At 47.0% G+C, this 13,256-nt stretch overlaps 1 protein-coding gene across 3 annotated transcripts in view, besides 1 other annotated feature; it reads left to right on the top strand.

The window, feature by feature from the left end:
• Positions 1-6,213: 6,213 nt before the first annotated feature.
• The window catches only part of ZNF343 (zinc finger protein 343), a 43,183-nt gene continuing 36,140 nt past the window's right edge, over positions 6,214-13,256 (top strand). For 2 of the 3 annotated variants that reach the window (XM_047440476.1, XM_047440474.1), the window contains exon 1: positions 6,214-6,421. The gene's annotated coding sequence lies outside the window, so the exon portion shown is untranslated. 3 annotated transcript variants of the gene reach the window in all.
• Positions 6,399-6,568: a silencer, noted in NCBI's record as "silent region_12603". NCBI's record gives its function as "represses an Ori minimal core promoter by ATAC-STARR-seq in GM12878 lymphoblastoid cells {active_cell/tissue: GM12878}" and the evidence as "EXISTENCE:reporter gene assay evidence [ECO:0000049][PMID:35858748]".

Below are 13,256 nucleotides of genomic sequence, written 5' to 3'. Positions count from 1 at the left end.
TTTTTAGTAGAGATGGGGTTTCACCATGTTGGCCAGGCTAGTCTCGAACTCCTGGCCTCTAATGATCTGCCCACGTCGGCTTCCCAAAGTGATGTGATTACAGGCGTGAGCCACCACACCTGGCCCAATTAACTTTTTTTTTTTAGAGATGGGTCTCACCGTGTTGCCCAGGCTGATCGTGAACTCTTTAGCTTATGCAGTACTCCTGCCTCAGCCTCCCAAAGTGTTGGGATGACAGGCGTGAACCACCATGTCCAGCCCAAAAGATAAAATTCTTAAGAATTTCACTATAGGCTGGACGCGGTGGCTCACGCCTCTCATCCCAGCACTTTGGGAGGCCGAGGCAGGTGGATCACTAAAGGTCAAGAGTTCGAGACCAGCCTGGCCAAGATGGTGAAACCCCATCTCTACTAAAAATACAAAAATTAGCCGGGTGGATGTGCCTGTAATCCTAGCTACTCGGGAGGCTGAGGCAGGAGAATCCCTTGAACCCGGGAGATGGAGGTTGCAGTAAGCCAAGATCACGCCATTGCACTCCAGCCTGGGCGACAGAGCGAAACTCCGTCTCAAAAAAAAAAAAAGAATTTCACTTTCACTTTTTCAGCACAGTATTAGACCAAGTGCAGGGCGCTTCTGAGTGTGGAGCCATGAGCAGCCACGCGCAGGCTGCACACTCAGGAAGCCCACCCTTCAAGACAGCCACAGCTGAGAGTTACCTGTCACTGCCTTTCTGCCAGGAACTTGCCAACCCCTTTAAATGACTTATTGAATCATCACAACAGCCATTTGAGGCAGATTGTCTTATCTTTCTTTACAGATGAAAAAATGGAGGCTTAGATGTGATGTGTCCCAGCAGTCCCTGGAGACAGGATTCAGCCCTGTTGACTGTTCTTACTCCAGAGCCCAGGCTTTTATTCCCTACACTCTTCTGACCTCTTGGGAAAAACCTGGACCACACCATATCCTCCTTTCCAAAGGTCCCCGTGTTTGCCTCCTACCTGGGCACCGGGCTGCTGGCCCTGCCCTTCAGTTTCTCTCTTGCATGGCAGCTAAGGCAGCCCCCAGAGCAGAGGTCTGACTTCATCTCCCCTCTACTTAAAACCCTTCGCTGGGACTCCATGGCCTAGGGGTAAAACCCAGACTCTCTAATGTGCCATCCAAGGCCCCGGAGAGCTCCAACACCCTCCAGCCCCCTCTGCCTCTCTCTTTCAGTGCAGCTATTCCTACCCACTGATGTGACTTGCTCTCATTCGAGGTACTAGAACTTCTCTTTGTCTTTGCTCCCACTATCCCCCCTGCCTGAGGCACAACTATGAAGACTGCTGACTTCAGGACATGTGGCAGACCCCTGGGCACACTGCCCACCCAGCATTTTACAATATGACTTGGAATGATGTTTCCTAGCAGAGCGATAACCCTAGCAAACTGCCAGGTGGGGTGTGGTGTCTGAGCAGAGCACTCCAGCCTCTGGGAAGACTCCCTCTCTGCTCTGCCCTTGGTTTTTGCCTCATCAAGATTTGCCTTTTCTTCATGGTGGTCTTGACATGTCCGTAACTGGAAACCTCTTGATTTCACACATTTGCAACTTTTAAGAAAAAAAAAAAGTGACACAAAAATGTGTTTTTAACTTTTTGTGAAATATTCCTTTTCTTTTTCTTTATTCTTCTTAACACAATACTTTAGCTAATACTATTTGAGTAACATTTATTGGACATGCAACTCAAACATTATTCTGAAAATTAATAATATCAGAGTGTTGTGCCCTAATGTTATCAGGATAGTGAATGTCCCTATTGCTGGAGCTGAGGAGGGTGAACTCTGTGCTAATTCTCTTTCATGGATGTGGCTTGCTCAGAGAAAATGAAACCCCAGGACCCAATACGACAACAACAAAAATAACATGTGCAGTCTCCACCAAAAGTCACAGGGCGTTCAAATCCAGGGGTGCTTTTGTCCCCAAAGCCCTTATTTGGGGAAGCTTCTTGGGCCATCTTGTTAATTTATCTCTCCAATTAGAAGTATATACATATATATATATAATTAGCTGTGGGTATCTGCTTACAAAACATCCAGTGTTGCTCACAGAATGTTGTAAACCGGCACAATGGAGAGGATCCAGTTACGCCAGCTAACACCCTAGCTGGATAACGTGAGCTGGCGCTATCTCAAGGATGCTGCCCTCCACCGACGAACCCACACCAATGAGCTCAGTGCTGGGGTAGTTTGTGGCACAGGGTGGGAGAGAGGCCATAGGATTCTGGACGGTAGCGGTGTGTCCCTGAAAGCTTTGGGTTGTGTAATATGAACAGTGCTTCTAAGTTTGTTTGGTCAGAGTCTTGGTTCCTTGACCTTTCTTGATCAGCACTGAAGGTGGGGCAGAAGGGTCCTGTTTTCGAGAAACTGCTGAGGTTGTCTCTGCCATCTCAGACTCTTAGGCAGGAAGTTGGACCCATCCAGGTATCTGGGACCTGAGGGCCCCCCATTACTCCAAAGGCAGGGGAGGATTACTGCCAGATATAAGCCAGACAGACTAAGAGGCACGGTCTACACAACCCACAAGGAGAACTGCAGCCAGCTGGTGACTATGGGTCATAGTTTTTTTATTCGTCTGCTTCTCCCCCACCACCCCAGGAGGCAGAGTCAGGGAAAGAAAGTAGGGAGCCTAGATTCAGGGGCTCTGTTCCTTCTGCCCATACGGGATAAGGACAACTGGAATGCTCCTCAAAGCAAAAGTGTTAAACAAAGTCAACCCCCATTTTCAGATGTCGGCTGAAATCGGACACCCCATTTTTAGGTGTCAGCTGAAATCAGATGGGTGACAAGCCCCTCTTCACCCCACACTACCATAAGCAAGTTATTGAAGCTTTCTCTGCCTCCGTTTTTTCATCTGCTGGGTGGAGGTAATTCTGCTACAACTCCTGCAAGAGCCCTTTGGGGACTGAGTGAGATAATATGACCATAACCAGAACACCCCAAAGCCCTGAAGAGTTAGGAGAGCGCTCTGTGGGATTCCTGCTCATATCACTTTACTCCCAGCCTCAGTGCCTAGGCCTGCAGTGCGTCTGGGCCCCACTTTTGCCAGGCACGAATGAGCCTGCCCCTTTCTTCTGCTCCATAATGCACCTGCTGCAAAGTTCCTTACTTCACTGCCTCACGAAGGTATGGCCACATGGTGGTAGAGATGTGGCCCTCGCCTTGTCAGCTGCCCCATCTCCAGCCTCTTCTGTATTCTCTCTATTGTACTGGGCTCTAGGGCTTCCTTTCTATTCCACAGAGCAGCACTAAGCCAGGCTATGATGTGCGATCGCTCATCACCAACCCTTTGGAGATAACCTGGTGTTGTGGTAGCAGAGCCCAGGAGAGCAAAGTCCCCAGCAGAGACAACTTAATTGCTTTAAGTTTCTCAGCCACTTTTGCCATAGGAAATACCTCCTGAACCCCTCTCCTTGGACGTTTTGAATTCTACATACTATTTGTTTCTAGAGCTCACTCCCCCTAGCAAGATTCAGCTCATCTGATATCCTAGAATGTCAGCGTATTCATGCATACAGTTTGGAGTGGAGAAGACCTCCACTGAGCCGGCGAGTCCCCCTTTTTTAAGATTGCTTGGGAACCAGCAGTCCTGTGGTTGGACCACTGCTCAGTGAGCTTTGACCTTGGCAAAGGGAGTGGGAATGGATGCAGGGAGACTTCAACTTTGAGATGCATGTGTCAGGGACAACATTGGTCTCCCTGTCACTTGGGCAAACTCTTTTAAGTCATCACTCTTCTAATCTTTGTCTTATTGTTTGGGGGCACTTGGGTATCTGCTCATATTTCATTGTGAGATGCTGAAAAGCTATGTGGAAGCATTCTGCATGTGGGCAGGCCTTGCTGATGGGTGGGCCTCACTTCAGGACAGTGTTTCTCAATCTCAGCATTAGTGATATTTTGGACCAGTTATTTCTTCGTTGTGTGAGAGCTGTCTTTTGAGTTGTAAGATGTTCAGCAGCATCCTTGGCCTCTGTGTGATAGATACCTGTAACACCCACTTGCTGCCAGGTGAGATAACCCACAGCATCTCCAGGCACTGTTAAATGTACCAGGAGAAGGTGCGGCAGGGGTGGGGGGTGTCCCTCAAGTTTGAGACCCACTGCTGTAGGGTGATGAGGCAGGGATAAGAGATTCCCACTCCCAGTGTTTATGGGCCTTTTCTTCTGGGCAGGGCAGAATTCCCAGAGAAAAATCTTCCCATTTTCCCAGAGAACACACCTTGGCTGCCAGTGTGGGAGCTGAGGAAGAGAAGGTGGCTCGGAGTGCCGCTCATCAGGAGGCGAATTTTCACCCGGTTCTCTTGTTTTCATATGGGTTCTCATCTTGCCCTTGGCTGTGTCTAAGACCCCTCAGCCCAGTGCTTTCCACCATGCCAGCATCTTAAAGAGCCAACTTTGAATCTGCTGAAGTGGGAAAACCTGAGGTCTAACTAGTCTTTTTTGTTTAAGAACAGCTTCATGGAGGTATAATGACCATACTACAAAATTTACCCTTTTAAAGTGAACAATTCTGTGTTTTTTAGTATATTCACACATCTGTCTCTGGTTTTCACAGGTGACTGTTTCATTAAGTTTTTTGAATTTGGTGCTGACTGTGATTACAGCTTACATTTTCCTTTTTGGTAATGTCAGAGGCATTTGAACCAGAGCAACTGGTTGAATAGGGGCTGGGTAAAATAAGGCTGAAACCTACTGGGTTTTATTTCCAGGAGGTTAGGCATTCTAAATCACAGGATGAGACAGGAGGTAGGCACAAGGTACTAGCCCAGAGTGGTGGCTCACACCTGTAATGTCAGCACTTTGGGAGGCCGAAGTGGGTGGATCACCTGAGGTCAGGAGTTCGAGACCAGTCTGGCCAACATGGTGAAACCCTGTCTCTACTAAAAATCAAAAATTAACCAGGTGTGGAGGTACGCGCCTATAGTCCCACCTACTTGGGAGGCTGAGGCATGAGAATCGCTTGAACCCGAGAGGCGGAGGTTGCAGTGAGCCAAGATCATGCCACTGCACTCCAGCCTGGGTGACAGCTCCGTCTCAAAAAAAAAAAAAAAAGAAAAAAAAAAAAAAGAATGAACAAACAAAAAGACCAAACACCTTGCTGATAAAACAGCATGCCATAAAGAAGCCTGCCCAAAACCACCACAACCAAGATGGCCAGGAAAGTGACCTCTGATCGTCCTCACTGCTCATTATATGCTAATTATAATATTTTAGCATGATAAAAGTGTCTTTTTTTTTTTTTTTTTTTTTTTTTTTTTTTGCACCATGACAGTTTACAAATGCCATGGTAATGTCCAGAAGTTACCCTATATGGTCTAAAAGAGGGGGAAGAACCTTCAGTTCCAGGAACTGCCCACCCCTTTCCTGGAAAACTCCTGAATAATCCACCCCTTGTTTGGCATATAGTCAGGAAGTAACTACAATCAGTTGAGCAGCCCACGCTGGTGCTCTGCCTATGGAGTAGCCCTTCTTTATTCCTTTGCTTTCTTAATAAACTTGCTTTCACTTTACTCTATGGAATCGCCTGGAATTTTTGCCCAAGGTCCAAGAACTCTCTCTTGGGGTCTGGATCGGGACCCCTTTCTGGTATCAGTAACACCTTTCTGGTTAATATTCTCAGCCATGTGTGCGCAAGTCCCTCTAAGGCCAGAAGCACGGAGAATGGCTCAGGGTTTGGGGCTTCATCGCCCCTGCGGTCCCCGAACCCTTTCCCCCGACCCCCCGGAGGCCTCGGGGCTGTGCCGAGGGACAGGGGCTCCGGATGCCAGATGCTCTCCATCCTCACCTTCCTATGGAAGCTTGGAAAAGTCAGGTCTCTGAGGCCACTGAAGCTAAAAATTGGGACTTCGGTTTGGGGCGGCAAGCGGGGAGTCAGCCTACGCGGGGTGGCGGGTGCGGAGGGAACGGGGACTCGGCGGCCGGCAGCCTGGGGCGGCACTACGGCGACAGATCGGGACTCGTTCCCTTAAGCGCGAGGTGGGGGCTTAGCCTCTGGTAGGGCGGGTGGGGATTCGGCCGCCGGCGGCGTAGACCATCACTTAGTCTTGGAGCGGAAGGCCGGGTTAGACCTAGGATAAAAAATGCTGAATTCCTTTTCTGGGGGGAAAACTGCGGGATCCGCCTCTGGAGGAAACAGCGGGGCTGAGCCCCTCGGGGAGAGGCGGGGACTAAGCCTCAGGAGCGGGAAGCCGGGAAGCGGGGATTCCATTCGACTCCGGAGAGGGGGACTCCGCTTTCGAATGGAGAGCCGGGACCTTGGCGTCTGGGCCCCGCGGAAGATCGGGAGCCAGCGGGCGCGGTGGCTCACGCCTGTGATCCCAGCACTTTGGGAGGGGGAGTTCGAGACCAGCCTGGGTGACACAGCGAGACTCTCGCTCAAAATAAAAATAGTAAGAGGGAAGGGCCAAGGCAGGGAGGGCGGGCCTGTTGCAGCGCCGGGGCTGGGGTCCGGGCTTCGGGTCGTCCCTGCACCTGGCTTCCTTTCTGAAAGGCCTCCAGATCCTCTGCGAAGGCCCCCTGGGCTCCCCCGGCGGGGCCCGCAGCTCTCCCCCGCGCTGAATCTGAGGAACTGGGCCCGGAAGCTCGCGAGTCTCGGTCCTGGCGGTTCGGGCGGGCGCCCCCTGTTGGCCAAGTTGGGACTTGCCATTGCGGCAAAACCTGCGATTCGGGGCAGGGGCAGGCAGTGGGGGGACAGCCTGGAACCAGAACGCGAAACCCAGCCTCACGGTAAGAAGTGGAGACCTAGTGGACACTAGCAGGTATGTGTGAAAGCAACCTCAAAATCACACGTTCTCTGCCAGGGTAAGCATTTGTTGTGAGTTAGAGCGACTTGAGATGAATTTAAGCAGTATAATTTATCTGTCTCTCTCTGAGGCAGGGTCTCCCTTTGTCCCCCAGGCTGGAGTGCAGTGGTATGATCATGCCTCACTGCAGCCTCGACCTCCCCAGCTCAAGCAGATCCTAAGCCTCCCAAGTAGCTAGGAGCACAGGTGTGTGCTACCATGCCCAGCTAATTTTATTTTGTAGAGAGACAGGGTCTTACTATGTTGCCCAGTCTGGTCTTGAACTCCTGGGCTCAAGGGATCCTCCTGCCTAGGCCTCCCAAAGTGATGGGATTATGGGAGTGGGCCACACCAGCTATCCTAAGCAGTATTTTCAAAGAGGCTCAGAATCACACTTCGATTTTTTTTTTTTTTTTTTTGAGACGGGGTCTCTGTCACCCAGGCTGGAGTGCAGTGGCACGATCTCAGCTCACTGCAACTGTTACCAGAAAGGTGTCCCATCCAGACTCCAAGAGAGGATTCTTGGATCGTGTGTAAGAAAGAAAGAATTCTTAGCCAGGCGTGGTGGTGGGCCCCTGTAATCCCAGCTACTGGGGAGGCTGAGGCAGGAGAATCACGTGAATCCAGGACGCAGAGGTTGCAGTGAGCCAAGATCGCACCATTGCATCCTAGCCCAGGCCAGAGTGCGAGATTCCGTCTCAAAAAAAAAAAAAAAAAAAAAGTACACATAGCTATGGAGTGGGGTTTAGCTGGAAAAGGTGACCTTGCAACTTCAAGTCAACTTCTGGCTCCTCAAACAGTAGGATGGCAGTAAGGCAGGGAAGTTGTTTTCCCATTTCTCACTGAGAAGATTGTGAATATTTCCATATGGATTTTCTATTATAAATGTTACTCTGATTCTTTGTTTTAAAATAAAAATTCTGAATGTAAAAAAAAGAAAAAAAAAGGAAAGAATTCCCTGCGAGTCCATAAAGTGAAGGTAAGTTTATTTAAAAAAAAAAGGAATAAAAGAGTGGCCACTCCATAGGCATAGCAGTGGCATGGGCTGCCGGACTGACTATACTTATAGTTATTTCTTGATTGTATGCTAAACAAGGTGTGGATTATTGATGAGTTTTCTGGAAAAGGGGTGGGCAATTCTCGGAACCGAGGGTTCCTCCCCTTTTTAGACCATATAGGGTAACTTCCTGACATTGCCATGGCATCTGTAAACTGTCATGGTGCTGGTGGGAGCATCTTTTAGCATGCTAATGAATTATAATTAGTGTATCATGAGCAGTGAGGACAACCAGAGTTCATTTTCATCACCATTTTGGTTTTGGCCAGCTTCTTTACCACATCCTGTTTTATCAGCAAGGTCTTTGTGACCTGTATCTTGTGCTGACCTCCAATCTCATCCTATGACTTAAAATGCCTAACCTCCTGGGAATGCAGCCTAGTAGATCTCAGCCTTATTTTACCCAGCCCCTATTCAAGATGGAGTTGCTCTGGATCAAATGCCGCTGCCACAACCTCTGCCTCCCAGGCTCAAGCGATCCTCCCACCTCAGCCTCCCAAGTAGCTGGGTCTACAGGCACAAGCTACTACACCTGGCTAATTTTTTTGTGTCTTTTGTAGAGACAGGGTTTTGCCATGTTGCCCAGGCTGGTCTCGAGCTCCTGAGCTCAAGCTATCCACCTGCCTTGGCCTCCCAAAGTATTGGGATTACAGGCGTGAGCCACCATGCCTGACCTCACACTTTGATCTTAAAAGTAACTTCTTATTATGAGTCGGAGTAAATATAAATGTAATTAAGCAGCTTATGTTAAAATTGAAACTGAGCCAGATTGACTTATTGTGAACTACACAGTACGTTAGCTCAGAAAGACAGACGAACAAACTGGCTCAGAAAGACTTATCTCCAACTAAGTAATCTTTTTGTAAGTTTGAGCAAATGAAGTAGGTTAAATAAAAACAGGTTGCGTCACGTCTAAGGTAACTCCAAAGTACCTTATTATGTTGAAATAAAAATGTATGTTTACAAACAAGTAGAGTGTTTGCAAACAAGCTAAGAATCAGACATTCCCCTCTAAGGAAACTTCTAATGGTGAGAAACTAAATAAAATGAGTTAGAACCAATTTAGATAAATCTAAGCAGTATTAAGGAATATGTCCTTAACCTAACTTGTTATGTGGAATTAGACTCCATGTAGTCAGTACTAAGCATTTTAGGTGAAATCAAGCTCAAAATTACTCATTCATTTTACACCACACTTTTATTGCTCCTTAGAGATAATTCATATGTAACAGTTGATATTAAAACAAGTGTAGACTCAAGCATTCTCAAAAGGACCTTCTTAGAGTAACTTAGAGTATATCTAAGAGTTTATGTTAAATCAAGCTCAAAATAACTTATTCATTTTAAACAAACCTTACATGCTTCTTAAGTGCTTTGTAACTTTACATGTGCAAAGAAGCTGAGAAACGCATTCGTTTCAAAGTGTCCTGCTTCCCTCACTCGCTAGGGGGAGCCCCTCCGGCCTGGCATAAAGGCCGCTTTTGAGAAATTGATTTTGACCGCGACCACCCACGTCTATGTCCCAGCTTTTCCCTCCAGAAGCTGAGTCCAGATTTTCAGCTTCAGAGGCTAAGACCCCATCTTCCATTTCAGAAGCTAAATCCCCACTCCCCACACAGAAGCTAGAGACTAAGATCCTACTTCTCCATCCAAAGGCTAAGTTTCCACCATATACCCACTGGCTAGGTCCACACTTCCCTCTCCGGAGGCTGAGCCCCAATTCTGACTGCAGAAGTCATCTCTTGCCTCAGAGACTACATCCCACTACCCACACCTGAGTCTAGGTCTCTGCTTCTAGAGCTGGAAGCTGAGTCCCCAGAGGTCTCCCATCAGGTGAGGGCCCTACTTCTCCCTCCAGAGGCTACATCTGGATTTGGGCTCCACAGGCTATCTCTACCTCTCTCCCTAAAGGCTACTTCTGTCTCCAGAATATAAAAAGTCCACCGTATTCTTCCCAATGCTGAGTCCCCATCTGACTCCAGAGAAGAAGCCCCCACTGTTCACCCCAGAGGTGAAGTTTCCACTTTCTGCCCCAGAGTCTATGCCTGCCCTGATTATGACTCCAGTGGCTAAGTTCCCAATGCTTGTACCATAAGCAAGGTTTCCACCATCTGCCCAGGGGGTAAGTCCACTCTTCTTCCAGAGGCTGGGTCTGGATTTCAACGCCAGAGGTTAAGTACCTATCTTTTGCCCCAGAGATTACACGTTCATTTCCCTCAGCAGAGGCTACATTCTTGCTTCTCCTTCCAGATGCTATGTCCTCACCACTTGTCCCAAAGGCTAAGTCTACACTTATCCCTTCTAAAAGATGAGTTTTGGTTTCAGTTCTACAGACTAAATCCATGCCACTCATTAAAGACTTCCCACTCCAGAAGCTTCCTCCCTGCATCTCCCCCAAGAAGCTAAGTCCCCTCCCCTTGCCCTGGGGCTGTGTCCCCACCTCTCCCTCCAGAAGTGAAGTCCCCATTTTTTGTTTCAGAGTCCAAGTGCCAACCTGTGCTGCCAGCAACTGTCCCCAATATTCTCTTCCAGAGGCTGAATATCTGCCACTTGCCTATGGTGTGAGTCACCACTTTTCGGCGTAGAAGACGAGTCCCCATGTTCACAAGTGCTTTACAGGGGGTGCCTGCCCAAGTTTCTGGGACCAGAGCTGACCAATGATCTTCCCAGACCCATTTCCCACTGATTCTCCTCTTTAAGATGAGTTAGAGCATATCTAGTAAAATAAAATAAAATAAAATAAGCAGTATATTAATGAACAAGCTCAGAATCAGACATTGTTCTGAAAAGCGATTGTAGGCTCTTAGGAATAATTAAAATGTAGCTAGGCATAGGTAGCACATATTTTAATTTAAAAAATTATTTCTTTTTAATAGAGACGGGGTCTTGCCATGTTGTCCAGGCTGATCTCTAACCTCTGGGCTCAAGAGATCCTCCCACCTTGGCCTCCTAAAGTGCTGGGATTATAGATGTGAGGTACCACGCCTGGCTAGTAGCACATAAATTAGGTGATATAAAGGAAGTCAAGTTCAAAATCACTCATCCATTATAAATGAAATTTATACATTTAATAAATGATATATAAACTTCATAGTATATACAAACTAGCTCATAAAGTGCATGTAGAATACAAACATAGAATCTTAAAGTGCATTAAATTAAGGTGAATCTAAGCAGTATTAGTGAAACTTAGCTCAGAAGCAGTCATTATCCTCCAAAGTACTCTATTATGTTGAATTAGTAGAAATATAGATTAAACTATGTACAACCAAGCAGTAAACAAGCTAAGAAACAGACTCTCCCCTCTTAATAAGTGTGAAATGGTCAGATAGAGCAGATAAAAATAACTTAGAGCCAAATTACATGAATCTAAGCAGTATTAGAGAAAATAATCTTACAATCACACCTTGTTCTCTAAATTTCCTTATTTTTTTGTGACTTACAACAAATTAGGATGAACCTAGGCAATTTAAATCAGAGTCATCTCCCTATGGTGAATTCAATTAAATATATGTGAAACTAAACAGAACAGTTGAAAACAGGCAGGAAATCACACTTTCAACTAAGGTTCAGGTCCAGGTTCAGGAACATCTCAAATGAAATGTCCATTGTGTGTTAGAGCATATTTAGATGAAACCAAGCTGTTTATGTCAAATGAGTTCAGAATCTATCATTTTTCCTGAATGAGTCAGGGTTCTCCAGAGAAACAGAACCAATAGAATGTGTATGTATATGCGTATACACACACATGCACACACACATATGGAGATTTAGTATAAGGAATTGCTTCACACAATTATGGAGGCTGGCAGGCTGGAGCCCCAGGGGAGCCAATGGTGCAGTTCCAGTCTAAAGGCAGTCTGCTGAAGAATTTCCTCTTGTTCAAGGAGGCTGGTCTTTTTGTTCTATTCAGTGAGGTGAGGCAAATCTGAAGGCGAAGTCCAGAGTCAGTGTGAGTGTGAAGGTCAGGTTCATGGTTAGGACCAGAGTGAGTGTGAGAGTGAGCTGGAGGTACAGGGTCAGAGGGAGAGTCAGTGTCACAGTCAGGATTAGGGTGTCAGTGTCAGAATCATTATGAGAGCGTAGTAAAGGAGTCTGTGGCAGGGTGTGGGTAGTGAGTTGGTATGTAATGTGGGGTAGGTCACGGGGTATTTGAGGGAGTAAGTAGAGAATGAGTATGGGTCAGAAAGTAGTGAATGGGTGGATTAGTCCATTTTCACACTACTATAAAGAACTACCCAAGACTGGGTAATTTAAAAAGGAAAGAGGTTTAATTGACTCACAGTTGCACATGGCTGGGTAGGCCTCAGGAAACTTACAATCATGGTGGAAGGTGAAGGGGAAGCAAGGCATGTCTTACACGATGGCAGGAAAGAGAGAGGGGGGCAGGGAACTGCCAAACACTTTTAAACCATCAGATCTTGTGAGAACTCACTATCATGAGGACAGCATGGATGAAACCACCCCCATGAGCCAATCGCCTTCCACCAGGTCCCTCCCCTGACATGTGGGGATTACAATTCGAGATGAGATTTGGGTAGGAACACAGAGCCAAACCATTATCAGTGGGTGTGGGCTGCAAGGGTAGGCACTGAATGGTTTACAGGGGAGAGGTAGGTGGTGTGTGGGTGATTGTCAGAGCATAGGTATTGAGTGGATGTGAAGCAAGTGGTGTAGGGAAGTGGACACGGGGCTGAGAGCATGTGGTATGTTGGAAGGTAGTGTCTGTAAGGGAGGGTTGTAGGTTGTGAGTGAGTGTGGAACCGGAGGGGTAGCTATTTAGAAATCAGAAGTTAGAGTCTGGCACTTGTGAGTACTATTGTGTATTTTGGAGTACTTTGGAGTACAAAAGATTATTTGACAACAGTTAGTGATTCTATGTTGGCTTCAGAATTCTAGATTCTACTTAATTTGCTCTAACTGGCAATAAGAAGGATCTTTTAAGAGCAATGTGACAATGAGCTCATTTACACGAATACTGCTTTTGATTCATTATAATTCTCCCAAATAGAAATAAATCTTTGAGGCTGGGCGCGGTGGCTCACGCCTGTAATTCTAACACTCTGGGAGGCCAAGGTCGGCAAACTGTCTGAGTTCAGGAGTTCAAGACAAGCCTGGTCAACATGGCGAAACTACGTCTCTACTAAAAAAATACAAAAAGGTAGCCAGACGTGGTGGCACGCGCCTGTAATCCCAGCTACTCAGAAAGCTGAGGAAGGGGAATCACTTGAGCCTGGGAGGCAGAGGTTACAGTGAGCCGAGATCGAGCCACTGCACTCCAGCCTGGGTAACAGAGTGAGACTCTGTCTCGAAAAAAAAAAAGAGAGAAAAAAGGAAAAAAAAATAAACCTTTGAGTACTTTTAAAATTTTATTAAGGACAATAT

Source organism: Homo sapiens, chromosome 20, assembly GCF_000001405.40.
Source record: "Homo sapiens chromosome 20, GRCh38.p14 Primary Assembly".
Lineage (NCBI taxonomy): Eukaryota > Metazoa > Chordata > Mammalia > Primates > Hominidae > Homo > Homo sapiens.
Note: the sequence above shows the minus strand (reverse complement) of the source record. Positions and strands in the feature narration are given on the sequence as shown.